Source organism: Homo sapiens, chromosome 10 (assembly GCF_000001405.40).
Source record: "Homo sapiens chromosome 10, GRCh38.p14 Primary Assembly".
In the NCBI taxonomy this organism is placed as follows: domain Eukaryota; kingdom Metazoa; phylum Chordata; class Mammalia; order Primates; family Hominidae; genus Homo; species Homo sapiens.
Genome location: NC_000010.11, coordinates 73482271 through 73508764, shown reverse-complemented (window position 1 = coordinate 73508764; position 26494 = coordinate 73482271). Strand labels below are relative to the sequence as shown.

General features: G+C 43.6%; 2 protein-coding genes and 1 long non-coding RNA gene across 43 annotated transcripts in view, besides 3 other annotated features; 2 read left to right on the top strand and 1 right to left on the bottom strand.

The window, feature by feature from the left end:
- USP54 (ubiquitin specific peptidase 54) overlaps nucleotides 1–11227 on the top strand; it is a 128444-nt gene extending 117217 nt beyond the window's left edge. For 18 of the 26 annotated variants that reach the window (NR_146997.2, NR_165443.1, NR_165442.1 and 15 more), the window contains 4 exons: nucleotides 3339–3457; nucleotides 3775–3915; nucleotides 7927–8110; nucleotides 9577–11227. Coding sequence is in view for 20 of the 26 variants with exons in the window: in NM_001391951.1 (NP_001378880.1) it covers nucleotides 3339–3457; nucleotides 3775–3915; nucleotides 7927–8110; nucleotides 9577–10136 (1004 nt within the window). In the remaining 6 variants the exon portion in view is untranslated. The remainder of the gene's footprint in view (nucleotides 1–3338; nucleotides 3458–3774; nucleotides 3916–7926; nucleotides 8111–9576) is intronic. The other 8 variants (NR_146998.2, NR_135249.2, NM_001391947.1 and 5 more) reach the window with 2 other exon arrangements.
- PPP3CB-AS1 (PPP3CB antisense RNA 1) lies at nucleotides 1456–13013 on the bottom strand. 2 transcript variants are annotated; one of them, NR_132103.1, is made up of 5 exons: nucleotides 12948–13013; nucleotides 12282–12623; nucleotides 9078–9170; nucleotides 4493–4581; nucleotides 1456–3960 (listed from the first exon to the last, which is right to left on the bottom strand). It is a non-coding gene; the product is annotated as a PPP3CB antisense RNA 1 (long non-coding RNA). The 2 variants fall into 2 exon arrangements; NR_132104.1 differs by having other exon boundaries at nucleotides 1456–3487.
- Nucleotides 12535–12724: an enhancer, noted in NCBI's record as "active region_3564". NCBI's record gives its function as "activates an Ori minimal core promoter by ATAC-STARR-seq in GM12878 lymphoblastoid cells {active_cell/tissue: GM12878}" and the evidence as "EXISTENCE:reporter gene assay evidence [ECO:0000049][PMID:35858748]".
- PPP3CB (protein phosphatase 3 catalytic subunit beta) overlaps nucleotides 12741–26494 on the top strand; it is a 59592-nt gene continuing 45838 nt past the window's right edge. For 9 of the 15 annotated variants that reach the window (XM_005269944.2, NM_021132.4, NM_001142354.3 and 6 more), the window contains exon 1: nucleotides 12741–12960. In XM_005269944.2, coding sequence (XP_005270001.1) covers nucleotides 12876–12960 — 85 coding nt within the window. In that variant the 5' untranslated portion in view covers nucleotides 12741–12875. Of the gene's footprint in view, nucleotides 12961–13122; nucleotides 13480–26494 lie in introns of those variants that run through there. The other 6 variants (XM_047425434.1, XM_047425432.1, XM_047425433.1 and 3 more) reach the window with 2 other exon arrangements.
- Nucleotides 12805–13154: a silencer, noted in NCBI's record as "silent region_2484". NCBI's record gives its function as "represses an Ori minimal core promoter by ATAC-STARR-seq in GM12878 lymphoblastoid cells {active_cell/tissue: GM12878}" and the evidence as "EXISTENCE:reporter gene assay evidence [ECO:0000049][PMID:35858748]".
- Nucleotides 13215–13674: an enhancer, noted in NCBI's record as "active region_3563". NCBI's record gives its function as "activates an Ori minimal core promoter by ATAC-STARR-seq in GM12878 lymphoblastoid cells {active_cell/tissue: GM12878}" and the evidence as "EXISTENCE:reporter gene assay evidence [ECO:0000049][PMID:35858748]".

The following is a 26494-nucleotide window of genomic DNA, read 5'->3' as shown; positions in this document are numbered from 1 at the left end:
ACCTGGGAGGTGGAGGTTGTGGTGAGCTGAGATCACACCACTACACTCCAGCCTGGGCAACAGAGGGAGACTCTGTCTCAAAAAAAAAAAAAAACATGTTCTTCTAGCCCACATTTTTCCTGTAACTTAGTACTTAGAGCTAGAGGCTCAATTAAAATCAGATACAAATTTTAAAAATAGGAATATTTAATAGGAAGTTCTTTGTATTTCTTACATCATATCAGCGAATACATAATGTCTGGTAGTCTTTCTATTGATGAGAGGGTAGACATCATCTTAACCCTTTCTTCTATTGAATCTAGAAATTCCCTTACAAATGGCCACCTCTACCTCTGCTTAAATTCTTTTTTTTTTTTTTTTTCTGGATTCTCACTCTATCGCCCAGTCTGGAGTGCAGTGGTACAATATCAGCTCATTGCAACCTCTGCCTCCCATGTTTAAGTGATTCTCCTGCCTCAGCCTCCCGAGTAGCTGGGACTACAGGCGCACACCACCGCACCCAGCTGATTTCTGTATTTTTAATAGAGACAGGGTTTCGCCATGTTGGCCAGGGTGGTCTTGAACTCCTGACCTCAGGTTATCCACCCGCCTCGCCTCCCAAAGTGTTGGGATTACAGGCATGAGCCATCGCACCCTGCCTTCTTTTAAAGGAATCAGATTCTACTCCCTTCAGGAGGTTCCAGTGGCTACCTTCTTGTCCAGGAGTCACATTTGGCTTGATTAGAGGAACACCCAATTCTAAACATTACTCTGTAAATCTTTTTTCTTTTTTTTGAGACAAAGTCTTACTCTGTCACCCAGGCTGGAGTACGGTGGCACAATCACGGCTCACTGCAGCTTCCACCTTCCAGGTTCACGTGACCCTCCTGCCTCAGCCTTCCGAGTGCAGGTGTGCACCACCATACCTGGCTAATTTTTTTAATGCTTTTTTTCTCTTTTTTTAGAGATGGGGTCTCACTATGTTGCCTAGGCTGGTCTTGAATTCCTAGGCTCAAGTGATCCTACTGCCTCAGTCTCCCAAAGTGCTAGGATTACAGGCATGAGCTACCACGGCCAGCCATAGCTGTAATTTTTTTTTTTTTTTTTTTTTTTTTTGCGACGGAGTCTCTGTTGCCCAGGTTGGAGTTCAGTGGCGTGATGTTGACTCACTGCAGCCTCTGCCTCCCGGGTTCAAGCGATTCTCCTGCCTCAGCCTCCTGAGTAGCTGGGATTACAGGCGGCCGCCACCACGCCTGGCTAATTTTTGTATTTTTAGTAGAGATGGGGTTTTCACCATGTTGGACAGGCTGGTCTCGAACTCCTGACCTCGTGATCCACCGGCCTTGGCCTCCCAAAGTGCTGGGACTACAGGCGTAAGCCACCGCACCCAGCCTTAGCTGTAATCCTTAAACCTGGCTACCTATAGTCATCTGAGGAGTGGCTCAGAAAACCCCAAAAAACACATAAATACAGAAATAATTTTATAGAAATAAGAACATAACACACATGCTGTTTTTATTATAGACAATTTTCCTGTCTCTTCTCTCACAGCCAGTCCCTACTTCCCCAGGTAATTATCTAGTGTGCATACACTGTATTTTCTGTTTATACAATCCTATGTAGACCTACATATACATAAACAAATGCTTGTCTATCATTTTACAGATTTTTTTCCTTTTAATGCAACAATGTTTCATTAAAATTTCTTCAAATCATCTAGTTTAACTCAGTTCAATCTTTTTAAGTGGCTGGACAATATCTGGTATTAAACCATAATGTATTTATTCTTCTATAGGTGGGCATTACTTTATTTCTAGTTCTTGGCTACTATAAATTATGTCAGTAGAAAATATTCTCATATATATGTTGTTATGAACTGGTATTTTTTTCTTCTTCTTCTCAGGATTAGAATCGTTGGGCAACAGGATAAATATATTTTTTATTTTATTGGAGATTACCAGGTTGTTTTTTAGGAAGACTGTAACATTTCCCATTTCCCCCAATAATGTTCAAGGATATTTTCTTAGACTTTTTGGGAACCTTTCAAAAATGAAAATTCCCAGGCACCAACCACAAACCTTCTGATTCAGCTCTGTGGTAACATCCAGGAAGCTATATTTTTAAAAGTTCCCAGATGAATCTGAGGTGGTATTGAAAGCACTGCATTTAAGTACCCAGGAATACTGAAAATAACTGGTCTTACAATACTTACATGAATAATATCAGCTTCAGCCAGATATATATATATATATTAGAATCAAATCATCAAATCAAGACATGAATTGGCCATGGACATATGTATCAAATGTAGGTCAGGGGCATATACAGTTTTGGAATGGAAAACTTAATTAGTTGGATTGGGGATAGCCCCTTGGGAGTCACCAATCCAGTTTAGAGCAACTGAACAATCTAGAAAGATTTTGAAAAGAGGTAAGCATTTAGTGGTTGTTTAGAAATTTAAATGATTTGAGAGAAGCTAAGGGGAAAAGAGCATTACATATGTAAAACATTCCTGAGGAGCTCCTGCTCTCAGAGTAAAAGAGGTCACCAGGTGAGATGGTAAGAGTACTGTACTGAAAATCAAGAGGATTTAATTTTAATCCTGGTTAAACTACTAAACTCTCAGACCCTGGAACTCATTTTCCTGTTATATAAAATGAGGAGGTTTGATAGATGATTATTATGATCATTTCTATTCTGAACTAGACTGGAGATAATTTCCTTTGTCACCACAGATACTTTAGAAAATCACTGTGTTAGAAAACAAAACTCACTGTGTTAGATACTTTCCTCTGTCTATAAGTCTTGAGCCTAAGTCTGACAGAAGCTGATTATGTTTACAAAAATGAAATGAAGCAAGATGGGGACACTCAGTAAACTATCTATATTCTAAAATTCTTGTTTCTTTTTTTTTTTGAGACGGAGTCTCGCTCTGTCACCCGGGCTGGAGTGCAGTGGCGTGATCTCCGCTCACTGCAAGCTACGCCTCCCGGGTTCACGCCATTCTCCTGCCTCAGCCTCCCGAGTAGCTGGGATTACAGGTGCCTGCCACCACGCCCGGCTAATTTTTTGTATTTTTAGTAGAGACAGGGTTTTACCATGTTAGCCAGGGTGGTCTCGATCTCCTGACCTCGTGATCTGCCCGTGTTGGCCTCCCAAAGTGCTGGGATTACAGGTGTGAGCCACCGCGCCCAGCCCCTCTTGCTTCTAAATTCCAGGAGCATGTTCCTCCGTTGAATTCAAGGATGCATATTTATTATTAAATGAAACAACAGCTCCTGAGTTTGTGCTGCTAGGCTTAGAGGTTAGGCCCTAGGGGAAGAGATGGCCTCAACTTGTATTTGTGTTTTCCTCTTCAGGCTCTGCAGATGGCATGGGGAGGAGGTTGCACTCAGCCCATGATCCTGGTCTCTCAAAGACTTCAACAGCAGAAATGGAGCATGGTCTCCATGAAGCCAGAACAGTGCGTACTTCTCAGGTAGCAGCCTCAGGTGCTAAGGTGCTGGGCCTGGGGTGGTGTGTTGGGGAAGGAATTATGGAGAGATGTGACAGGGATGATGATAAGGCAGAGGCATGGTGATATGGGGCTATCAGAAGAAAATAAGGTCTATGATTGGGCTTCTTTTGAATTAGAGGAGATTGTTACATGGCCACTATCTTACCAATACATCTAATTCAGGTGTCTATTACTACTGAGTCTTCCCCTACTCTTTCCCATACCCTGAGGATACTGTCTGTGGGAAAACCATAAGTCTGGTATTATGTGTCTGCCTGTATGTGTCTGTGTGTTTGAAGGCTACACCTTGCCGAGGCCTCAGCAGGGAGTGTGGGGAGGATGAGCAGTACAGTGCAGAGAATTTACGTCGCATCTCACGCAGTCTCAGTGGCACCGTTGTCTCAGAGAGGGAGGAAGCTCCGGTTTCTTCCCACAGTTTTGTAAGTAGAATCAGGGTCCATCTATTCAGAGCACCCTCCTCCTTGCTAAGCAAAAATACAGTGCAGGTGAAGAAGCAGGGAGAAAGTGAAGGTTGTAATGTGAGGAAAGGCCCTGTGTACTCAGCAAAAATAAGGACACGCAGTCATTATTTTATTTACAAACATTCAGCTGGAGCCCAGAGGAATGTCCATTCCATGTAGCAGTTCTGAAAGGCCGTGCGTGTTGTAGGGTTTCCTGGGGTGAGAAGAGTCATAAAGCCTTGAGAGGAATCTGAGAAGCAAAGGCTGCTGATTGGGTCAGAACCCACTGCACTAATCAAAGAAAGAAGGAAAGAAATGGGATGGAGTATTGGTTTGCTTTTTCCTCTCACCCCCAGTATGTGATTGAATAGAATTCAGTGTGTTTTCAATCTAAAGTGATGCATGTGTATCAGCAAGAAGAGGAAAAAAGCCTTCTTGAGAATTTTCATATGGTACTAGTGCAGTAATGTGTAAGTAGAAGAGGCAGGAAAGCCCAAGCCATTAGAGATCAACAAACTTAAATAATATCAGTGGCTAGGTTTGTAGGTAATCATACCTTTGGAGAATTTCACTTCCTTGCCCAAGTTGAGTGTTCATCACAGTAGAGGTCAGGGTACAAAGTACCAGTGCATTGAAGGTTGTCCACTAGGTCAGTTCAGGAAAAATGTAAAAACAGATTTTAAATACATGGTACAAAAATAAAAAGGTATAAAAGCATATATGGTGAAAACCAAGTCTGTCTTCTACCAGCCCTTCAGATTCAGTTTCCCTCCTAAGAGGTACTCATTTTTCCAATTTTTAAAAATCAGCCGAGGCCAGGCGTGGTGGCTCATGCCTGTAATCCCAGCACTTTGGGAGGCCAAGGATGGTGGATCACCTGAGGTCAGGAGTTCGAGACCAGCCTGGCCAACATGGCAAAAATATAAAAATTAGCCAGGCATGGTGGGGGGTGCTTGTAGTCCTAGCTACTCGGGAGGCTGAGGCAGGAGAATCGCTTGAATCCGGGTGGCAGAGGTTGCAGTGAGCTGAGATTGAGCCACTGCACTCCAGCCTGGGTAACAGAGCAAGACTCTGTCTCAAAAACAAAACAAAACAAACAAAAAAACCCAGCCGAATTTATAGTAAGTTTCATTCAATTTATCGTTCATAAATTCCTAAGCAATTCTGATCAGGCTGCCATTCTTTTTTGGAAAAGGTGGACTCTCCTGCCTAGCATTTGTTCTCATGTACTTTCAATTCATTTAATGGCAAATTGTTCTTTTCCTAGGAGAGTTGGCTTCCTTTCTTCTGACTTCTGTATCATTCATTGATTCATTCTTTTAAATAAATGCTTATTGATTCTGTACAAGATTCCTAGCACAAAAATAAACAAATAAATAAGTGCTTATTGAGTGTGTTCTAGGTATTGTGCTAGGTGCTGGAGCTACAATGGTGAGTTAGATATAGTCCCTGCTTTTATGGAGCTTACAGTCTACAGTGAGGGACGGATAAATAAACAAACAGTTATAATGTGTTAAGGATTTGATCCTATGGGAACATAATAGAAGGGATATTTAAATCAGGCTTGAGGTATCATGGAAGGCTTCCTGGAGGAAGCAAAAAGAATATAGCAAGTAAAAGGGACCTGAGCAAATATTAACTGAATTAAAAGAAGCTTATTTAGTATGGCAGGATTAGAAAGTCTGGCAAGGGGAGATGATGGAGAGTGTTGACAAGAGAGGATACAAAGAATATTATGGACCACAGACAGCCCTGTATGTCACAGTAAGTAGTTTGGAAGGATAGAGATAAGTCGATGTATTTGAGACCCAGTTAGGAAGTAAACATCAGTGGGAGTTGGTGCCTGCCTGGATGTTGGGAGTGGGGATAAAGGATGATACTCAAGTTTTATGGGTAGATAATGATATATTTGAGGGAAGATATGCATTCAGTTTTACATATATTAAGCTTGAGTGGAGGTATCTGGCAGGCTTTTGGAATGAGATATATAAGCTGCAAATTGAAATCTGGGAATCATAGCCATTGAAAAAGAGGAAAAGACTTGCAGAAAGAGAAGAGGAGCCAGGACATATCCCTAAAGAGCATCAGATTTAAGGTGGTTCTTCTGAAGAACCCTAAAAGGAGACTGAGAAAAAAAGATTAGAGAGACTGAAGGGAAACCAAGGATGTGTGGTACCATAGTCACCAAGGGGAGAGTGTTTCAAGAAGAAAGGAATAGCCGGGCGCGGTGGCTCACGCCTGTAATCCCAGCACTTTGGGAGGCTGAGGCGGGCAGATCATAAGGTCAGGAGATTGAGACCATCCTGGCTAACACAGTGAAATGCCGTCTCTACTAAAAATACAAAAAAATTAGCTGGGCGCGGTGGCGGGTGCCTGTAGTCCCAGCTACTTGGGAAGCTGAGGCAGGAGAATGGTGTGAACCCAGGAGGCAGAGCTTGCAGTGAGTGAGCCGAGATTGCGCCACTGCACTCCAGCCTGGGTGACAGAGCGAGACTCCGTCTCAAAAAAAAAAAGAAGAAAGGAATAATTAGCTGTGTCACATGCTGAGAGGACTGGCACCTGGTCCTTAGGCAGTATGATAAATGCTTACTTTGTGCCATTTTGTAGTAGGTGCTGTGAGCATACACTGATGAAACAACACAAATTCTGCCCTTGAGTAGCTTGCAGTCTCGTAAAGGAAATTAGACATACTGGCATATAGATTATTTTATTTAATGTATTATTACTAAGTGCCCACATTGTTCTAGGCACTGTTCAAGGTGCTGCGGATACAGAAGTAAAAAGAAATAGGGGAGAAGACAATAAACAAATAAATGACATAATGCCAGACAATGATAAGTATGATAAAGAATAATAAGGCAAGAGAATAAAGAGTAAAGAGGTAATAGTGGTTTTTTTGAGGGCTATTCCTGATAGTAGGGTAGTGAGGGAAATCAGCTCTAAGGAAGTAACTTTTGATTAGAGATCTCAGTGATATGAAAGTATGAGCCATCAGAAGAATATTCTTGGTAACAGAAACAGGAAGTATAAAGACTCTGAGGTAGCAATGAGCTTGGTGTGTTTGAGGAATATTAAAGTTAGAGTGTAAAAGCTCCAGGAATGATAGGAAATAAAGTGAGGAGCAGCAGGGCCATATCACACAGGACCTTGTAGGCCACAGTAAGGAGGAGTGGATGGGAGATAGGAAAAGCAGATTGAAGGCTGTTGCAGTAGTCCAGGTGAATTTAAATATAAAACCCATAGGTAGAAATGATAGTCCTTGGCAAGTAATGGAATTGTGGATGGGAAGTGGGAAATCAAGGTCATTGCCAATGTTTGAATATGGGTGATTTAGGAAAATGAGGTGCCAGGAGGAGGAGTTTGGAAGGATTTTGGTTCAATTTTGGATATGTTAGTGTTTCAGATGTTAAAGGGGAATATTTCTGGGTATTTATCATAAAAGTAGATAACTAATAGGGAGTAGAGCAGGACATTAGCATCAGTAAATACAAACTTGACAGGCAAAAGAGGAAGCTGTGGAATGTGTAGCAGTGACAGGAGAGAAGATGGGGTAGAGTTCTTGATTCTACATTTAAACATATATAGTTTCATTCCCAGTACTTAGAATAAGTGAAGGATTTTTTTTTCTCATTCTCTCAGGCTTTCTGAATTTCTCATATTTCGTTTTTATTTTTAAATTTCTATCTCAATCTCTCTAATTCTACTGTTAGCATTAAGGAGTTTGCTAAAGACCTGAATGATAGGGTTGGGAAGGTGAGGGATATGAGGAAGACTGGTTAAGGGATAAGGATCTGAAGTTTGCAGTTTCTTAGAGGGCTAGCAGGGAGAGCAACTGAGTAAATTGGGTCCTGTTCCAGAACAAGGCATGTAGGCATGTTTGTGCTCTGGTTCCCTCCATTTCCCTTTGCTTGCCTCACTGTGTTTACCCAACTACATCCTGCTTTGTGTTAATCCTCATCTCTATGTTTTTTTGTCTTGTCTCATTATAAGGATTCATCAAACGTGAGGAAGCCTTTGGAAACCGGGCACCGTTGTTCCAGCTCCTCTTCCCTCCCTGTCATCCATGACCCTTCTGTGTTTCTCCTCGGTCCCCAACTCTACCTTCCCCAACCACAGTTCCTGTCCCCAGATGTCCTGATGCCCACCATGGCAGGGGAGCCCAATAGACTCCCAGGTAACTCCCCCAAATCTAATATTATATGCCAGAATTTGGTACCTTTTCAGGGGCCTCCAAGGGTCAAATCAGTATACCTATGGGGAGGGGGGTATCCCAAGGTGGAGTGGTGTGAAGATATGAATTACTGCTTCAAAGTCGTGCATTTATCTAGATAAATATTAAATCATTTGTTGGGCACCATGATTCTTAGACCAAGGGTTTAGACCAGCACCCCTAGAGTCTGTCTACTTACGAAAATGACCTGCTTCAGTCATGACAGAATAAGCTTTTAACTGACAAAGGGGAGTTAATACCCAGTCTTTGGGACATCCCCAGAACAGAAATGGTCATCTCTCCTTCTATCCTCTGAGCTAGTTTTCTCCCCTTCTATCCTCTGAGTCTCAGCTGAGGGATGGTCTAGGAAGATAAGGAATGAGTGGGAGAATTGGAAAGACCCTTTACATGGAGTACCCACACCATGTGTACAGACCCAGACAATTGTGGGGAAGGTGGGCAATATCATTTTGGCTTTCTTTGACCTTCCGAGTGAGATGTTCTCTTTTTTCCCCTCATGCACTGGATGTACAAGCTTGAGGCAGTGGTTCTCAATGGATAAAGGGGATGTACCACCGGTATCTAGTGGGTAGAGGCCAGGGATGTCCTCAACAGCACAGCCATTATTGTCACTTGCTCAGTTGTTGTTGTAAACCCTCAGAGTCAGCTGAACTATTTTAGGCCAAACATACTGTTTTTGCAAAGTATTTTTCATTAATAAATCACACAATGCACAGGGCAGTCTCTCCCCAACCCCAACAAAGAATTATCAGCCCAAGATACCAAGAGTGCCAAAGTTGAATAAATGTATAAGAAAAGGCATTCCACATTAGATCTCAGAGATCAAACAAAGGCAGCTTAACTGAAGTGAAGGTAACATTTTAAGAAAAGTTGGAGAAACAAAAAAAAAGCAAGGCACAGCGTCTCACACCTGTAATTCCAGCACTTTGGGAGGCCAAGATGGGAGGATGACTTGAGTCCAGCAGTTCGAGACCAGCCTGGGCAACACAGTGAGATCCCGTCTCTATTTTTTTTAAAAAGAAAAGCTGCGTGAGGTTTTGGTATGGTGGCTCTAGGAGTATAGTCATCACAAAGGGAGTATACGTTTGCCATATATTGCTATATATTAGGGAGCCCTTCTTTTGTAGGTGTGTGTATAGTGGATGAGAGATTATAGTGGAGGGAGGTAGAGGTATGGCAACATCCATGAGACTGTTTCATTTGCCCAGGTTGGAGGTATGAGATTTGATTTTGATGTATATTAAGAATTTTAAGAAATGGAATCAAAAGCACAGCTTGATTCATTCTTTCCCTTGTATGTATGCTCTTGGAGGAGTAGGGAATTGGGCTACACAGCTAGGCATGGCTCTCTGGGAAGGAGAATGGTTTTCTGAAGATGCTCAGTCTTTGGGTTTCTTTTCTTTCCCCAGGAACTTCAAGGAGTGTCCAGCAGTTTCTGGCTATGTGTGACAGGGGTGAAACTTCCCAAGGGGCCAAGTACACAGGAAGGACTTTGAACTACCAGAGCCTCCCCCATCGCTCCAGAACAGACAACTCCTGGGCACCCTGGTCAGAGACCAACCAGCATATTGGGACCAGATTCCTGACTACTCCAGGGTGCAATCCTCAACTAACCTACACTGCCACACTACCAGAAAGAAGCAAGGGCCTTCAGGTTCCTCACACTCAGTCCTGGAGTGATCTTTTCCATTCACCCTCCCACCCTCCCATTGTTCATCCTGTGTACCCACCATCTAGCAGTCTTCATGTACCCCTGAGGTCAGCTTGGAATTCAGATCCTGTTCCAGGGTCCCGAACCCCTGGTCCTCGAAGAGTAGATATGCCCCCAGATGATGACTGGAGGCAAAGCAGTTATGCCTCCCACTCTGGACACAGGAGAACAGTGGGAGAGGGGTTTCTGTTTGTTCTATCAGATGCTCCCAGAAGAGAGCAGATCAGGGCTAGAGTCCTGCAGCACAGTCAATGGTAAAGGTTATTCCTTTCCTTTCCTGGAGCTACACCTTTCTTTGTAAAACTGTACTGTGGGCCGGGCGCGGTGGCTCACACCTGTAATCCCAGCACTTTGGGAGGCTGAGGCGGGTGGATCACGAGGTCAGGAGATTGAGACCATCCTGGCCAACATGGTGAAACCCCGTCTCTACCAAAATACAAAAAATTAGCCAGGCGTGACGGTGCGTGCCTGTAGTCCCAACTACTCGGAAGGCTGAGGCAGGAGAATTGCTTGAACCCGGGAGGCAGAGGTTGCAGTGAGCCGAGATCGCACCACTGCACTCCAGCTTGGCAATAGAGTGAGACTCCATCTCAAAAAACAAAACAAAACAACAACAAAATAAACTACTGTGGCAGCGTTGGTACCCTGCATCACTGCCATGGTTGTGCTATTCTCATCTCAACATAGAATTGGTGGGTTCTCCTAAGGGTGTCAGGAACCTCTAAAAAGATGTGATTCTTTGGGAGGGGATATTTGAAATTCCAACTTCCATTCCCCCTAGCAAAAGGAAGCAGCTGCTGTTTAAGGGTTTTATCTGAGCCACTTTAAAGATGAATCCATGGTATTACTCTGGATACTAGCCATTCCTTAGGATTTTAAGGTCACATTTTATTCCTGGATGCTTTATGTCCCCACCTCCACCTGAGCCCTCATCCTCTGTTCCCTACTATACTCCCAACTTCTACTCTTTGTTTTATCCACCTATCCCTATTACCTGACCCTTTGTCTTCCCTGTCTCCCATCCTTGGGGGGACATGTAGCCCTGTGGTCATGGTTCTGATGACATCATCAGGGCAGCCCCCCTGCCCAGGTATTATGGCCTGTCAGCATTCCCTGTGCCCTCCAAACCTTAGGCCTAGAATGCGGAGCTGCCAACATAACATTCACCCTTTTGAACAGATGGAGTCAGGCACACTAACACAGCCTTCTGTCCTCAATAACACAGCCATTATTGCCACTTGCTCAGTCGTCAATGTAAACCCTCAGAGTCAGCTGAACTATTTTAGGCCAAACATACTGTTTTTGTAAAGTATTTTTCATTAATAAATCTATAAGACAGTTCTATTTAATTCCTTGTCATTCTTCCCTTTGTATGCTCTTGCTTTCTTTGTATTGGGGCTGGAAGTCTGGATAAATATATGAAGTGGCTTTTGACTGAGTGGAAGTGAGGAGCCAGAGACGAGTTGAAGGATATACAATCAAGGTGGGAATCAATGGGTCCTAAAATAGGGTGCCTTTCCTTTCTAGTATTGCTGCTAGGATGTTTCCCATCCCTTTCCTGACAGAGCATTCAGTACTCAGTACATTATACACTTCCTTCCTCCCCTCCTTAGGAAGATTTTCTGGGGATTCAAGCTCTTCTTACAGACTCACTCCTGATCAATGTACTCCAGGTGCCTTCCCTCTATCTTATAAGTTTGTGACGTGCCTCCTGTCCCTTCCTTCCTCTCCTTCCGTGGGGGCCTCTCCCTTTCCCTTCCCCTGTGGTGTTATGGCCCTTCCATGCCAGAAAGATCCATTTTCACCTGTGCCTCACTCCCGAGACTCTTCCCTCTAAAAAATAGCTTGTGGGTTCCCTTTTTGGAAAAAATCCATTGTTGGGTCTTTCCCTTCCTCTTTTCCTGGGGTCTCAGGATAGAAATTGACACAAAGAAGAGGTAGAAAGGTACTCCTTGGACCTTCGGACTACTACTTACTTACCACCATGCATTATGAACAGATTCTGAGCACATGTATTATTGAGCAGGAGGATGGGCAGGAATTGGTTGTTCCATCCCACTTGGATCCTGCACCATCAAGATATATAGAGCTTAGTGGATATGCTGGTCCCTGTCCATGATTCAACATATCTCCTGGTGTCGTGGACACACTCATCTAATAATTTTTGATGAACAGTCAGTTCTTGCCCCTCTACCCCCTTTCCCATGAGTGTCAGTCACCGTGGTCTCTATAAAGGTTCCATAAGTCACCTGGGCCCAGATTCTGTGCATGTGCAGAAATAAGGAATTAATTTCCAATTCCCTATTTACTCCTCTGCCTTCCAGGAGGAGGTTGTATCCTTTTCAGGTGAATTCTTCAGATTCTTTGCACATCTCTTGGTGTCATCCCCTTTATTCCCCTTACCTGTTTTGACAAACTATGGCGCCTAAATTGCTCTAGCTGCAGTCTTATTCTGTGCTTTCAGACTCTTGACAATTCCAGACTCTAAACACAAAGGCCAGAATTCTCTTTCAAACTCCATTTTGGATGGTCCCTTCTCCACTCTAGAACCTACAATGCTTCCTCTATTCTCTGGTCCCCTACCAACCCTTCAGTATTCAGATCTGGTAGCTAAATCGTTATACATTTCTCTATTAGTAGGAGATCCTGAGGTTTAATCACGTCTTCTCAGTTTACTGGGAATGCCATGAGAGCGGGTGTGTTTCCTCGCAGTCGTTCGATCGCAGCACCTCCTCATTCTTCATTCTGCATGCAAAGAATTTTAACCTGATCCCTTGGCCTCGTCCTGTTTCTCTCCTAGCTTCAGTAATTTTGCCCAAGTCCCTAGAGCCTACCCCGCCCCCACCCCCGCACGCGCAGTGCATGCCGGTCTTAGCCCCTCTGTAGGGAAAGAGGGTCCGCCATGTTCCCCGGCGGCGCCGCCGCTTGGCTCTGGTAGCCGCCGCCCCCGCCCCCAACCCCGCCCGGCCCAGAGCCTAGCCGAGCCCCGGGCCCAGCATGGCCGCCCCGGAGCCGGCCCGGGCTGCACCGCCCCCACCCCCGCCCCCGCCGCCCCCTCCCGGGGCTGACCGCGTCGTCAAAGGTGAGAGGTGGACGAAACCCTGGGGGCCTGGCCTGAAGAGCTAGCTGTGTGTGAGGGCGGGCGGGAGACCGTCCCCTCGGGAGTGGGCCCGGAAGGGCGGGCGAGTGACTGGCTGCCTCCCTTGGGGAGTGGCCCCTGGGCGGGCCCCTGCTGGGCAGGGCTGAGTCGGTGGCAGTGGTTCCGCGGTCTCCCGGTTGCTTTCAGGCCGGGGCGGAGGTTTTGCTTCCGTGGCTTCCTAGCCCAAGGGGTGAGGCTGTTAGCTGCAGTGAGCCCGTTTTCTCTTCACTCGGCCTGTCAAAGCGGCGCAGGGGCCGCGATTAGCTTCCTGCCCCGCGACAGCTGCACTTCTGGCTTGCCGGGGCGAACCGAGGGGCTCGGAGACCTTCAGCCACGCGAGGCCCGCCAGTGAGCAGTCAGAAATCACCTCGGCTTTGGCCCACGCCTGCTCCCCGGTGACAGTCGTCCGCCCTATCCGCGTCTAGCTGGCGACAACCGCAGGGGTTCACTTTTGGCCGTCAGGTGCCACCCGGAGCAGAAATTAGGGGAACCTTGTGGGATTGGATCACGGTGAAGGGTCGGGGCAGGAATTGGAAGGCCAGCCTTTATAGTGCAGAAAGGGAGAAAAAGCAGCATAAACGAAAAAAAAAATTCTTGTGGATAGCAAGTATTTACTTAGAAAACCATCAACACTTTGGTCAAAAGGAGTTACCCCTCCCTTACAAACACACACCCACACATTCATCCTAGACGAAAAAGTTAAATGTTTCTCAGCCAGGGCAGAATTTATGGATGTTTACCCACAACAGGTCAGCAGATTAATTTAAAATAGAGAAATTGAGGGCTAATTGAGAGTTGCTTAAGATTCCAAGCTTCCTGGGAGAGCCTACCAACCTCAAACACTGCTGTGGAGGTGAAAAACAATTGAAATGATTCTCTTTACCATGTAGCTTGATTGATAAATTGAAATCGTAGAATGAACTTTTCCTTATTTGTATTGTATTTATTTTTAAAATATAGGTACTTTTGTTTTCATTCAGCTTCTCAAATACACTGGCACAGTATTTAAACACCGTTAGCCTACTTTTTGAAATCTGACTCATATGTTTCCATTAAAATATTTAAAAACAAGGAAACCTTTTTTCTTTTTTTTTTTTAATTAAAAATTTTCAACCTGAGCCTTCTTCGGTTCTTAAAAGAATAATACTAATTTGGCCTGGCGTGGTGGCTCACATCTGTAATCCCAGCACTTTCGGATGCTGAGGCAGGCGGATCGCTTGAACTCAGGAGTTGGAGACCAGCCTGGGCAACATGGCGAAACCTTTTCTCTACCAAAAATACAAAAAATAAAAATTAGCCGGGCATGGTGGCGCGCCCCTGTAGTCCCAGCGGATCGGGAGGCTGAGGCACGAGAATCACTGGAGCCCGAGAGGCAGAAGTTGCAGTGAGCCGAGATTTGCGCCAGTGTGCTCCAACCTGGACGACAGAGCCAGACCCTGTCTCCAAAAACAAAAACAAAAACAAAAACAAAACACTGATTTGCACCTAGGCTTAAGTTAGTAGTATATCCAGTTGGGCCAGGCATTGGAATGAGCTGAATAACGAGTTTATGGAATCCTTAATACAGAGAAATCTTAAAAAAAAAATAGTAATGCAGACATTCATTCTATCAAGAAATCCTGGAGTTTTGTGGGGGTGGGAACGGGACATTGGCTACCTCTTCATTTTCTGACTGTATTTCTGTGTTGTGTGTTCATTTCCCTGGGCACTTTTCACCAGACTGTTAGATGGGGTAACCAATCACATTCCTGAACAATGAGTTTATGCTATCCTTACGTTTGTGAATCTTCTTATTCCTTGTCATATATATGGTAATGTTTTTTCTGTACTGCTTTAATGCAGTGAAAATAAGATTCCAAACATAAGGCAGATTCCTTAGGGGTGAGTTGTGAGTCCAAGGCAGTCATATTTGCAGGTTATTGGTGTGGAATAAAAGCCATTTGATTTAGATAAATAGGAAAGGAGCTTGTTAATATAGAAAATTATAGTTAAATAAAGCTTATGGTTATCATATTTCTGGTGCTTCATTGTGCCCTCTTCATAGAGACAACTTTCATTTCTTTATGGAATTTGTTAACCAGTTGGAATTCCTGTATGGATTATATGTTTTAAAATGGTGTGTAACAGACTAATTTGCACTGCTCATGGAGTCTCCTGCATTTACTGGGAAATTCACCTTTCTTACAGATCCAGAAATTCACTTTTAAATTTCATCTTCAGGATTCTTCCTTGTCTTTTATTCAGTAATTATACTATAATGTGATACCTGATATTAGAGAATACTGGTTGCCTGATGATAAATGATGTGAGTTCAGCTTAAGTTTAACTTGTTAAAATCCAAATTTCTTTTAAGTCCACAATGTGGTGGTAGTTTTGTATCGATACATTTTCATAGTAGTGATATTATGGAGACTGTCTGTTGGCATTGAATGCAAGTAGTCTTTTTCTCCCTGGAATTTTTTTTTTTTTTTTGAGACGGAGTTTCACTCTTGTTGCCCAAGTGGAGTGCAGTGGCGCGATCTCTACTCACTGCAACCTCTGCCTCCTGGGTTCAAGCGATTCTCCTGCCTCAGCCTCCCGAGTAGCTGGGATTATAGGTGCGCGCCACCATGCCCGGTTAATTTTTTGTATTTTTTAGCAGAGACGGGGTTTCACCATGTTGGCCAGGCTGGTCTCAAACTCCTGACCTCATGATCCTCCCACCGTGGCCTCCCAAAGTGTTGGGATTACAGGCGTGAGCCACCGCGCCCGGCCTGCCTCCCTGGAACTTCTTAGTGTCAAAATTTTATACTCCATGCTTGTAGTCATAAGGCCTACATTTTATGGTCATGTAGGTTTTTAAGGGTGTATAGGTCTTTCTGTGTTTAAGATCAGATACCTGAAATTCACTTTTTGTGAAGTTTGGGAGCTTGGAATACTGTAGGTGATTCATGAGTAAATGTGATGAGCTTGTCACTAAAATTATTAGTGGTAATTCCATGTCATTGATTATGGGTCATTAGGTTTTTGGTTGATTAAATTCAGTTCTGAGCCTACTCCAGCTGCTGGCTCAAGTCAAATTCTTCCCCTGTTTGAAAGTTGATCTAACCCACCTGATTAAGCAAGATGGTATATACCCTTTTAATTATATTCTATTAAGCATTCTTTAGCTATGTAGGAAATAAGAAAGTGGAAAAAAATTAGGAAAAATATCTAACCGTATCTGCATGTGTGCTTTCTTACCACATCAGCAAAGCTGGTATAGGTAATTGAAGCACAAAATCCTGAATTTATATATATTGCTTTCCCTCCTCCCCACAAAGTTTACTTGACCTGAATTGCCCAGATACCTCCTTTTTTCCCCAGATACTTAAAAAATGTACGTTTTGCTTTGTATACCAGGTTCTAGATTTGTAAAGCTGGATTGTCTCTTGAGATTATCAAGACTGTTAGTATTAATAAAAAATTCACCTTTTTACTTAGAGAGCATTGTCAGTATTGGGCATATGTTCATTTTAGCACCTACAATGTGAGTCATTTTCTTAACATTATTTTATTTCATGGGTTATAGTAACCTCAAATTATCAGACTTTCAGATTGAACCAAAATGCTGAATTTATGTGTTTTAATTTTTTTTAAGCTAAAGTATTTCTGATTGACAACGTTAGAATTCATTTGGATTCTGTTGCCAGTTGCCCTGCTTATAAATCTGAAGTCATTTGGCTAAAGTGTTTTCTAGTAGCTTTCCTTTAGGAGGATTACTTTTTGTTTATTTATTTATTTATTTATTTATTTATTTTTGAGATGGAGTTTCGCTCTTCTTGCCTAGACTGGAGTGCAATGGCGCAATCTCGGCTCACTGCAACCTCCACCTCCCGGGTTCAAACGATTCTCCTGCCTCAACCTCCCAAGTAGCTGGGATTACAGGCATGTGCCACCACGCCCGGCTAATTTTGTATTTTTAGTAGAGACGACATTTCTCCATGTTGGTCAGGCTGGTCTCGATCTCCTGACCTCAGGTGATCCACCCACCCTGGCCTCCCAAAATGCTGGGATTATAGGCATGAGCCACCGTGCCTAGCCAGATTACTTATTTTCAGATAACCCATATAGCCTTGGTGTGACATAGCTACTTCAGTGTTTCTTGCTAGTTCTATTTCATTATATTTTAAAGCAGCTTGAATTTTAATTTTTGTTTACAAAGTCTATTTTGTGGACTTATCTGTGTAAAAAGAACTAGAAATTATTTTTCTTTTACTTTCCACTCTCATTACTGTTAACCATACTAAAATAAATCTTCAGGCCAGGCGCAGCAGTGGTTCATGCCTGTAATCCCAGCACTTTGGGAGGCCGAGGCGGGGGGATCACTTGAGGTCAGGAGTTTGAGACTAGCCTGGCCAACATGGTGAAACCCCATCTCTACTAAAAATACAAAAATTTGGCTGGGCACAGTGGCTCACGCCTGTAATCCCAGCACTTTGGGAGGCTGAGGCAGGTGGATCACGAGATCAGGAGTTCGAGACCAGCCTGACCAACATGGTGAAACCCCGTCTCTACTAAAAATACAAAAATTAGCCTGGTGTGGTGGTACACGCCTGTAATCCCAGCTACTCGGGAGGCTGAGGCAGGAGAATCGCTTGAACCTGCGAGGCGGAGATTGCAGTGAGCCGAGTTCATGCCACTGCACTCCAGCCTGGGCGACAGAGCAAGACTGTCAAAAAAAAAAAAAAAAAAAAAAAAAAAAAACAATAAAAACAAACAAACAAAAATTAGCAGGGTGTGGTGGCACGCACCTGTAATCCTAACTACTTGGGAGGCTGAGGCAGGAGAATCACTTGAACCTGAGAAGTGGAGGCTGCAGTGAGCCGAGATTGTGCCACTGCACCCTGCCTGGGTGACAGAGCGATATTCCGTCTCAAATAAATAAAAATAAATAAATAAAATAAATCTTCAGTACCATGTGTCCTAGTGAAAGCAAAGGAACAGAAAGAGAGAGAGAAAAAGAGTGTGAGGGGATGGGGTGAGAGGGAGAGGGAGAGGGAACACTATGGTAACAAGTTACCTTAAAAGGAAAATGCCAAGTTGGAAATACAGCTTAGTAGTGAGGCAAAAGCTTCAGGTTCCAGAGCTATTGAATGAATTGGCAAGAGTTGTAAGGAAAAGTTTGGTAAAAGGACCTTGATTTATTAAACAAAGCGTGCCAATCATATGACCTCATTTCACCATAAAAAATGTTTTTTATACACAGAGATGAAATAAGCTGAAGCTAATTGGGCATCGTCTGTGTATGGTATGTAAAATTTATTTTGGAACATCACAGTCGTGAAATAGCAAATATTTATTAAATGTCTGCTGTATCACAAAACTGTAGGAGAACAACAAAAGTACAAAATATAAAATACAGACTTGGTTCATGAATAAATATTCATGAAAAATTAACAATATATGACATAAGGACAGGTATAGTTAATAATTGCCAGGTAAGTTGCTGAGCCCGCAAGTTGTCAGTTCAAAGGAGGTAGTGATGACTCTGGACTGGAATGGTCTAGGAAGGGCTTGTGTAGAAGCAAAGGGGCCTTGAAGGATGGTTAGGATTAAAATAGAGGATTGGGACCATTTATTTGTGCAGTGTTTATTGAGTACCAGCTTTGTACCAGGCATTGTGCTAGGCATTGATGATACAGAAGTGAATAGGATATTAAGTAAGATAGATTCTCTTGTAGTGCCGGCATTCTAGTGGGGGAGACACTATTATAAATAAATAATGTAATGAATTTGGTACAAAGCGCTACTGGAGCTGTAAAGAAGGGATTGGCTATCTTACTTTGAGGGAAAGCGTCACTGAGAGGATAATGTTTCGAGGTAGTCCTTGAAGGATGAGTAGAATTTCACCAGAAAGTGGGGCTAGAGTAGGTGTAACAGAAGCAGAAAGGCATGGAGTTTGAAAAAAGCATGAAATGTATGGCAAAAGTATGTGAAGTGCTTGGCAAGGAGTGACAGGAATGAAGTTAGAAAAGATCTTTTGTATTACAAGTTGAGGAGCTAAAACTTAAGCTGTTAAGCAGTATAGCAGTATATAGTACCTGGATGATTAAAAGCACAAGCTCTGGAGTCAGACTGCCTGGGTTTGAATCCTAGCTCTACTACTTAATAACCTTCTTGCCATGGACAAGATACTTAACATCTCCAAGCCTTAATTTTCTTATCTGTAAAGTAGAGCTAATAAAATCTTATTATAGGGTTTTTGGAGAATTAATAGAGACCGTGCATATAAAGTAGGTACCACAGTTCCTGGCCTGGCACATGGTAAGTACTCAACCAATGGTAACCATCACCATTATTATTATTATTATTATTATTGAAGGTTTTAAAGTAGAATAGTGACCCAGTATCTTGTTTTTTGATGGCTAATTCTGGCCATATTGTGTGCAACAAATTATTGGAGGGCAAGAAGCTTAAAGCAGGTTGTCTAATTAGAAGATTAATGGAGTAGTCCAAGTGAGGGATGACCAAGGCATGAAAAACTAGATACGACACAAATTCCTACTAATATTAGAAGGTAAGTATATTGGATGAGTGATTGAGTATGGAAGTGAAATAGGTGAGCAACAGTTTTTTAGGAAACAATAATCAGAATAATTTTGCTTTAGGGCTAGATTAAATTGGGCAATTGTAGTTAGATGCAAAGATTGGAATGATATGTAAAAGACTGAGAATGGTTAAATTGAGAAGAACCTTGAAAATAAGATCCAAAGTTTTCTTTTTCTTTATTCTTTAGTCATTAAGAAACTACCCCAAGTTTTTGAGTAGGTTAATTTACTACTTTGTTCAGTCAAAGAGGAAGAAGAGATTTTTCTAGTAAATGATAAGAACTTGAACTAGTATTGCAACAGTGGAGATTTAAGAAAATTGAATTTGAAGAATCAATAGGACTTAGAGTTCAGAAAGAGAACAATGACATTAAGTGTGAGTGATAGAGAATGGTGATACCTTAACAGGTGTAAGCCAGGAAGGGGAGCCAATTTTGAGGGAAAGGTATATTTAAAAACCACCACAAATTAAAAGAGACCCAATGGATACCTTGAAATTTTGAAGACAATGCTGTTGGATTTATTGAATCTTTCCTTAAAGCATGTGGCCAATCCATACTTCTACTCCTGGCAAGCAAATGGTTATATCATTCTTCATGATGAGGCTTTTTTTTTTTTTTTTTTTTAACCCTCAAGACAGGATCTTGCTCTGTCACCCAGGCTGTAGTGCAGCGCCATGATCATAGCTCACTGCAGGTTCAAACTTCTGGGCTCAAGCGATCCCCCAACTCAGCCTCCCAAGTAGCTGGGACTACAGGCACACACCACCATGCCTGGCTAATTTTGTTTATTTTTTATGGAGACAGAGGTCTCACTATGTTGCCCAGATTGGTCTCAAATTCCTGGGCTCCAGTGACTGTCCTGCCTTGGCCTCCCAAAGTGCTGCAGTTACAGGTGTGAGCCACCACGCCCAGCCATGATCAGCCTTTTGATGTCTCCTTTTGTCAAAAGAAAATTGTCCTTGTGTTGGTATAAAGACATATGCTACAGGAGCAGCATTCTGAAGACTTCAATTTCAACTATGGCTCTACTTCTTACTAGTGAAACCCCTGGAGAAGCAACTTAATGTCTCTGAACCTGTTATCTATCATTTGTGAAATGGGAGATAAAACTTGCCTGACCCTAACCCCAGCACTTTGGGAGGTGGAGGCGGGCGGATCACTTGAGGTCATATGTTCGAGACCAGCCTGGCCAACATGGTGAAACCCCGTCTCTATTAAAAATATACTAATTAGCCGGGTGTGATGGTGGGCGCCTGTAATCCCAGCTACTCGAGAGGCTGAGGTAGGGAGAATCGCTTGAACCTGGGAGGCAGGGGTTGCCATGAGCTGAGATCTCACCATTGCACTCCAACTGGGGCAACAGAGCGAGACTCTGTGGAAAAAAAAAAAACAAAAACTTGCCTGACCAAACTCAAAGGATGTCCCTGGGAATCATGTAGGATTATGTATGTGAAAGTACTTGGTCAACTATGAATAAAACACTATAAATATATTGTCATTGCTACATAAATTAGTGTCGTTAAACAAGTATTTTGGAAACTATAATCATTAATTCTGTAAACATTTCTTAATACCTATGTTTTTCCTGTTTGTTTTTTTTTTTTTTTTTTTTGGTTTTGGTTTTTTTTTGAGATGGAGTCTCACTCTGTTGCCCTGGCTGGAGTACAGTGGCATGATCTCGGCTCACTGCAACCTCTGCCTCCCAGGTTCAAGCAACTCTCCTGCCTCAGCCTCCCAAGTAGCTGGGATTATAGGCATCTGCCACCACGCCCCGCTAATTTTTGTATTTTTAGTAGAGACGGGATTTCGCCATGTTGGCCAGGCTGTTCTCAAACTCCTGACCTCAAGCGATATACCCACCTTGACCTCCCAAAGTACTGGGATTACAGGCATGAGCCACTGCACCTGGCCAGTTCTTAAGTTTTAGATAGGTTTTGATAATGGTGGAACTTAGAATGGATAAGACTTGTGGGCCAGAAACTTGAGCCTATGATGACTAGTTTTCTTTTGAGAGAAAGTCTCACTCTCGCCCAGGCGGGAGTACAGTGGCCCAATCCCGGCTTACTACAACCTCTGCTTCCAAGGTTCAAGCAATTCTCGTGCCTCAGCCTCCCCAGTAGTTAGGATTATAGGAGCCCGACACCATGCCCAGCTAATTTTTGTATTTTTAGTACAGATGGGTTTCACCATGTTGGCCAGGCTGGTCTGAAACTCCTGACCTCAGGTAATCCACCCGCCTTGGCCTCCCAAAATGCTAGGATTACAGATTTAAGCCACGGCACCCAGCCTATGATTAGTTTAATAGATAGCAGGGACAAGGGTAAACTAGCCAGAAGGCATGAATCTCAAAGGAGGAGGCATTTTTTTTCCCTTAGTGGAGAGATGATGTTGGAAGTGCTAATGCGGAGCTAAGAGAATGCTGAAGCCTCCACTGAGATTAGTGGAATGCGGAAAAATGAGCACCATCCACTTTGAAAAAAGAATTTGATAAGTGTTGTCCTTCAGGAGACCCAAGATGTAATTAAACTAGAGAGATGAAGACAGTATTCTGTGTAGAGCTAAAGAAGAGAGAGGCCAAGCGCGGTGGCTCACGCCTGTAATCCCAGCACTTTGGGAGGCTGAGGTGGGTGGATCACCTGAGGTCAGGAGTTCAAGACCAGCCTGACCAACATGGAGAAACCCAGTCTCTACTAAAAATACAAAATTAGCCAGGCGTGGTGGTGCATGCCTGTAATCCCAGCTACTTGGGAGGCTGAGGCAGGAGAATCACTTGAACCTGGGAGGCAGACGTTGCGGTGAGCTGAGATTGCACCATCGCACGCCAGCCTGGGCAACAAGAGCAAAACTCCGTCTCAGAAGAAAAAAAAAAAAAAAAAAAAAACCAGTCTGGCCAACATAGTGAAACCCCATCTCTACTAAAACTACAAAAAATTGGCTGGGCGTGGTGGCTCACGCCTGTAATCCCAGCACTTTGGAAGGCCGAGGCAGGCGGATCACGAGGTTAAGGGTTCGAGTCCAGCCTGGCCAACATGGTGAAACCCCGTCTCTACTAAAAATACAAAGATTAGCCGGGCATGGTGGTGCACGCCTGTAATCCCAGCTGCTCAGGAGGCTGAGGCAGGAGAATCGCTTGAACCTGGGAGGCAGAGGTTGCAGTGAGCTCATGTTGCGCCACTGCATTCTAGCCTGGGCAACAGAGCAAGACTGCATCTGAAAAAAAAAAATACACACACACACACACACACACACACACACACACACACACACAATTAGCCAGGTGTGGTGGTGTGTGCCTGTAGTCTCAGCTACTTGGGAGGCTGAGGCAGGAGAATTGCTTGAACCTGGGAGGTGGGGGTTTCAGTGAGCTGAGATCCTGCCACTGCATTCCAGCCCCGGCGACGATGCGAGACTCTGCCAAGAAAACAACAAAAAAAGAGATTGTGTGTAGGGTTTGTGGGATAGATTAAAACAAAATCTTATAATAGGAATTCTGAAGGCCTCAATGAAAAGGATGGAGGGAGAACAGCAAGAAGGAAATTGTATGAGGGAAAGAAATACAGAGAAAAATTTAGAAGTATAGATGTAGAGACTGTATTTTGGATAGTTGCCAAGGATGGCAATGATGGGAAGCATGATGAGATTAACTGACCTTAGGCATCTGAATGATACTTTGGAGTCAAGTTATTCACTTGGCACAGACTGTACCCCCGTTGAAGTCAGAGGCCTCATAGGGCTAAGAGGGCAGTCCTTGCTTAGAATTGGGGAACAGGATCAGTTAATTCTCAGGTTTCCTTGCCCAGTGGTAGAAACAGTAAGAAGATCTCTGTACCACCACCCCCTTTTTCCCAATTCCTGATCAGTCTGTGTTCTTGGTTTCTTTTTCCAACTTCCTAAATTAAAATGTTTTTCAGTCCTTGTTTTTTTAGCCACCATACATTAAATGTGAGTGAAAATACCTTGCGAATATTATTGGTTACTATATAGAGATGCCCTTCATGTCAAAATTTGGATAAAAGGAAGATTTTCAACAGAACAGTTTGGTCAAAATGAATGTTACCAAATCAAGATTTTTAGGTTTTGAGGAGATTTTGTAGCTCTCTTTTTTGTTTGATTGGTTTATTTTTTTGAGATGGAGTTTTGTTGTCACCCAGGCTGGAGTGCAGTGGTGTGATCTCGGCTCACTGCAACCTCTGCCCCCCAGGTTCAAGCAATTCTCCTGCCTCAGCCTCCTGAGTAGCTGGGATTACAGGTGTGCACCACCATGCCCGGGCTAATTTTGGGGTTTTTAGTAGAGACAAGGTTTCACCATGTTGGCCAGGCTGGTCTTGACCTCCTGACCTCAGGTGATCCACCTGCCTCGACCTCCCAAAGTGTTGGGATTACAGGCGTGAGCCACCACGCCCAGCCGATTTTGTAGCTCTTTAGGTTGTTCCAACAAATATTATTAGCCATTTCAGTTGTTGACTATTTATATTGCATTTATATACATTTGTTTTCTGGTTTTTCCCTGTCGCAAATATAGAAAAGTAAGGAAACATAGTCTGAAAATTAGGAGAAAAAAGTATATATGGAGGCAAAAAAAAAAACTCTGGAAAAGTAGAAATAGGCCTTGCGCAGTGGCTCCACGCCTGTAATCCCAGCACTTTGGGAGGCCGAGGCGGGCAGAACACGAGGTCAGGAGATCGAGACCATCCTGGCGAACACTGTGAAACCCCATCTCTACTAAAAATACAAAAACATTAGCTGGGCGTGGTGGCAGGTGCCTGTAGTCCCAGCTACTCGGGAGGCTGAGGCAGGAGAATGGCATGAACCCCGGGGGGCGGAGCTTGCAGTGAGCAGAGATTGCGCCACTGCACTCCAGCCTGGGCAACAGAGCGAGACTCCGTCTCAAAAAAAAAAAGTAGAAATAGTTGGCTGAAGATGAATTAGAAATAAAAAAAGCAAAACCTTTAAAAAGCCTGAAAACTATATGGAAATGCTTTAAAATGCTTTAGGAGTTGCAAAACAAAGTAGTAGTTGAGAATTAATTTTTTTTTTTGAGATAGAGTCTCTATTGCCCAGGCTAGAGTTCAGTGGCACGATCTCAGCTCACTACAACCTCCACCCCACCAGGTTCAAGCGATTCTTGTGCCTCAGCCTCCAAAGTAGCTGGGACTACAGGCGCGACACCACACCTGGCTAATTTTTGTGTTTTTAGTAGCGATGGGGTTTCACTATGTTGGCCAGGATGGTCTTGAACTCCTGACCACAAGTGATCTGCCTGCCTTGGCCTCCCAAAGTGCTGGGACTGCAGACATGAACCACCGCACCTGGCCAGAGAATTAGTTTTTGATGAAAAAAAAATTTTAACTCTCTATTGAGCAACTTATTTTAGGCCAAATTCTATTTGGACAGTTATCTTTTGCCCCGTCAGGTCTCCTGCTGAAGCTCCGTTCTCCACTTGCAAAACAACACTATACGTGCCTTTTTTCTCTTATTTGCTGATAAATTAAAATTTATTTTATTTTTATTTTTTATCTTTAGACGGAGTCTTGCTCTGTCTCCCAGGCTGGAATGCACTGGCATGATCTCGGCCCACTGCAACCTTCACCTCTTCGGTTCAAGCGATTCTCCTGCCTCAGCCTCCTGAGTAGCTGGGACAACAGGCATGCGGCCACCATGCCTGGCTAATTTTTTGTGTTTTTAGTAGAGACGGGGTTTCACCATGTTGGCCGGGCTGGTCTTGAATTCCTGACCTCAAGTGATCCACCTGCCTCAGCCTCCCAAAGTGTTGGGATTATAGGGGTGAGCCTCTGCGCCCAGCCAAAACATATTCATTTGAAACTGCCTATTTTTATTTTCAGTGTTATGGTAACATTGATTCCCTATAGCTTTCATCTACCTCTACTCATGAGTAGGTGACGTTTTTCTACCACTCAACCTGTACACATTTTAAAAAAGCTGTCCCAGCTGGTTTTGAAATGTAGAAGTGTGCCTTGAGTTGAAAAATAAGTAGGAAAGTACAGGTCTTTAGATAACTAACTGTGGCATGGAGTCAGTTTATACTTTCTTTTTCAGGTGAATACATTATAGTTCTTCAGTGTGACTTGAAGTAGAGCATTCACAGTGTGCGTGAAAACATGCAGTACCACTTGTGTCTGGCTGAGGGGGAAGTAGGGAGTGGTCTCATAGGTGGATTTTTAGGAAGTTCTATGTTTTGAACAGAATTCAGCAATTAGTGGAATTATGTTGTTGGTTGTTAGGAAGTATATATCATCTAGGCCAGGCACAGTGGCTGACGCTTGTAATCCCAACACTTAGGGAGGCCAAGGCAGGCGGATCACCTGAGGTTAGGAGTTTGAGACCAGCCTGGCCAACATGGTGAAACCCTATCTCTACTAAAAATACAAAGATTAGCCGGGTGTGGTGGCGGGTGCCTGTAATCCGAGCTACTTGGGAGGCTGAGGCAGGAGGATCGCTTGAACCCAGGAGGTGGATGTTGTAGTGAGCCGAGATCTCGCCACTGCATTCCAGCCTGGGAGACAAGAATGAGACTCTGTCTCAAAATAAATAAATAAATAGGAAATATTCATCATGTAGAACACAGCTTTTTTTTTAGAGACTGAGTCTCTTTTTTTTTTTTTTTTTTTTTTTTGAGACGGAGTCTCGCTCTGTCGCCCAGGCTGGAGTGCAGTGGCGCGATCTCGGCTCACTGCAAGCTCCGCCTTCCGGGTTCACGCCATTCTCCTGCCTCAGCCTCCCGAGTAGCTAGGACTACAGGTGTGCACCACCACACCCAGCTAATTTTTGTATTTTTAGTAGAGACGGGGTTTCACCGTGTTGACCAGGGTGGTCTTAAAATCTTGACCTCATGATCTGCCCGTCTTGGCCTTCCAAAGTGCTGGGATTACAGGCGTGAGCCACTGC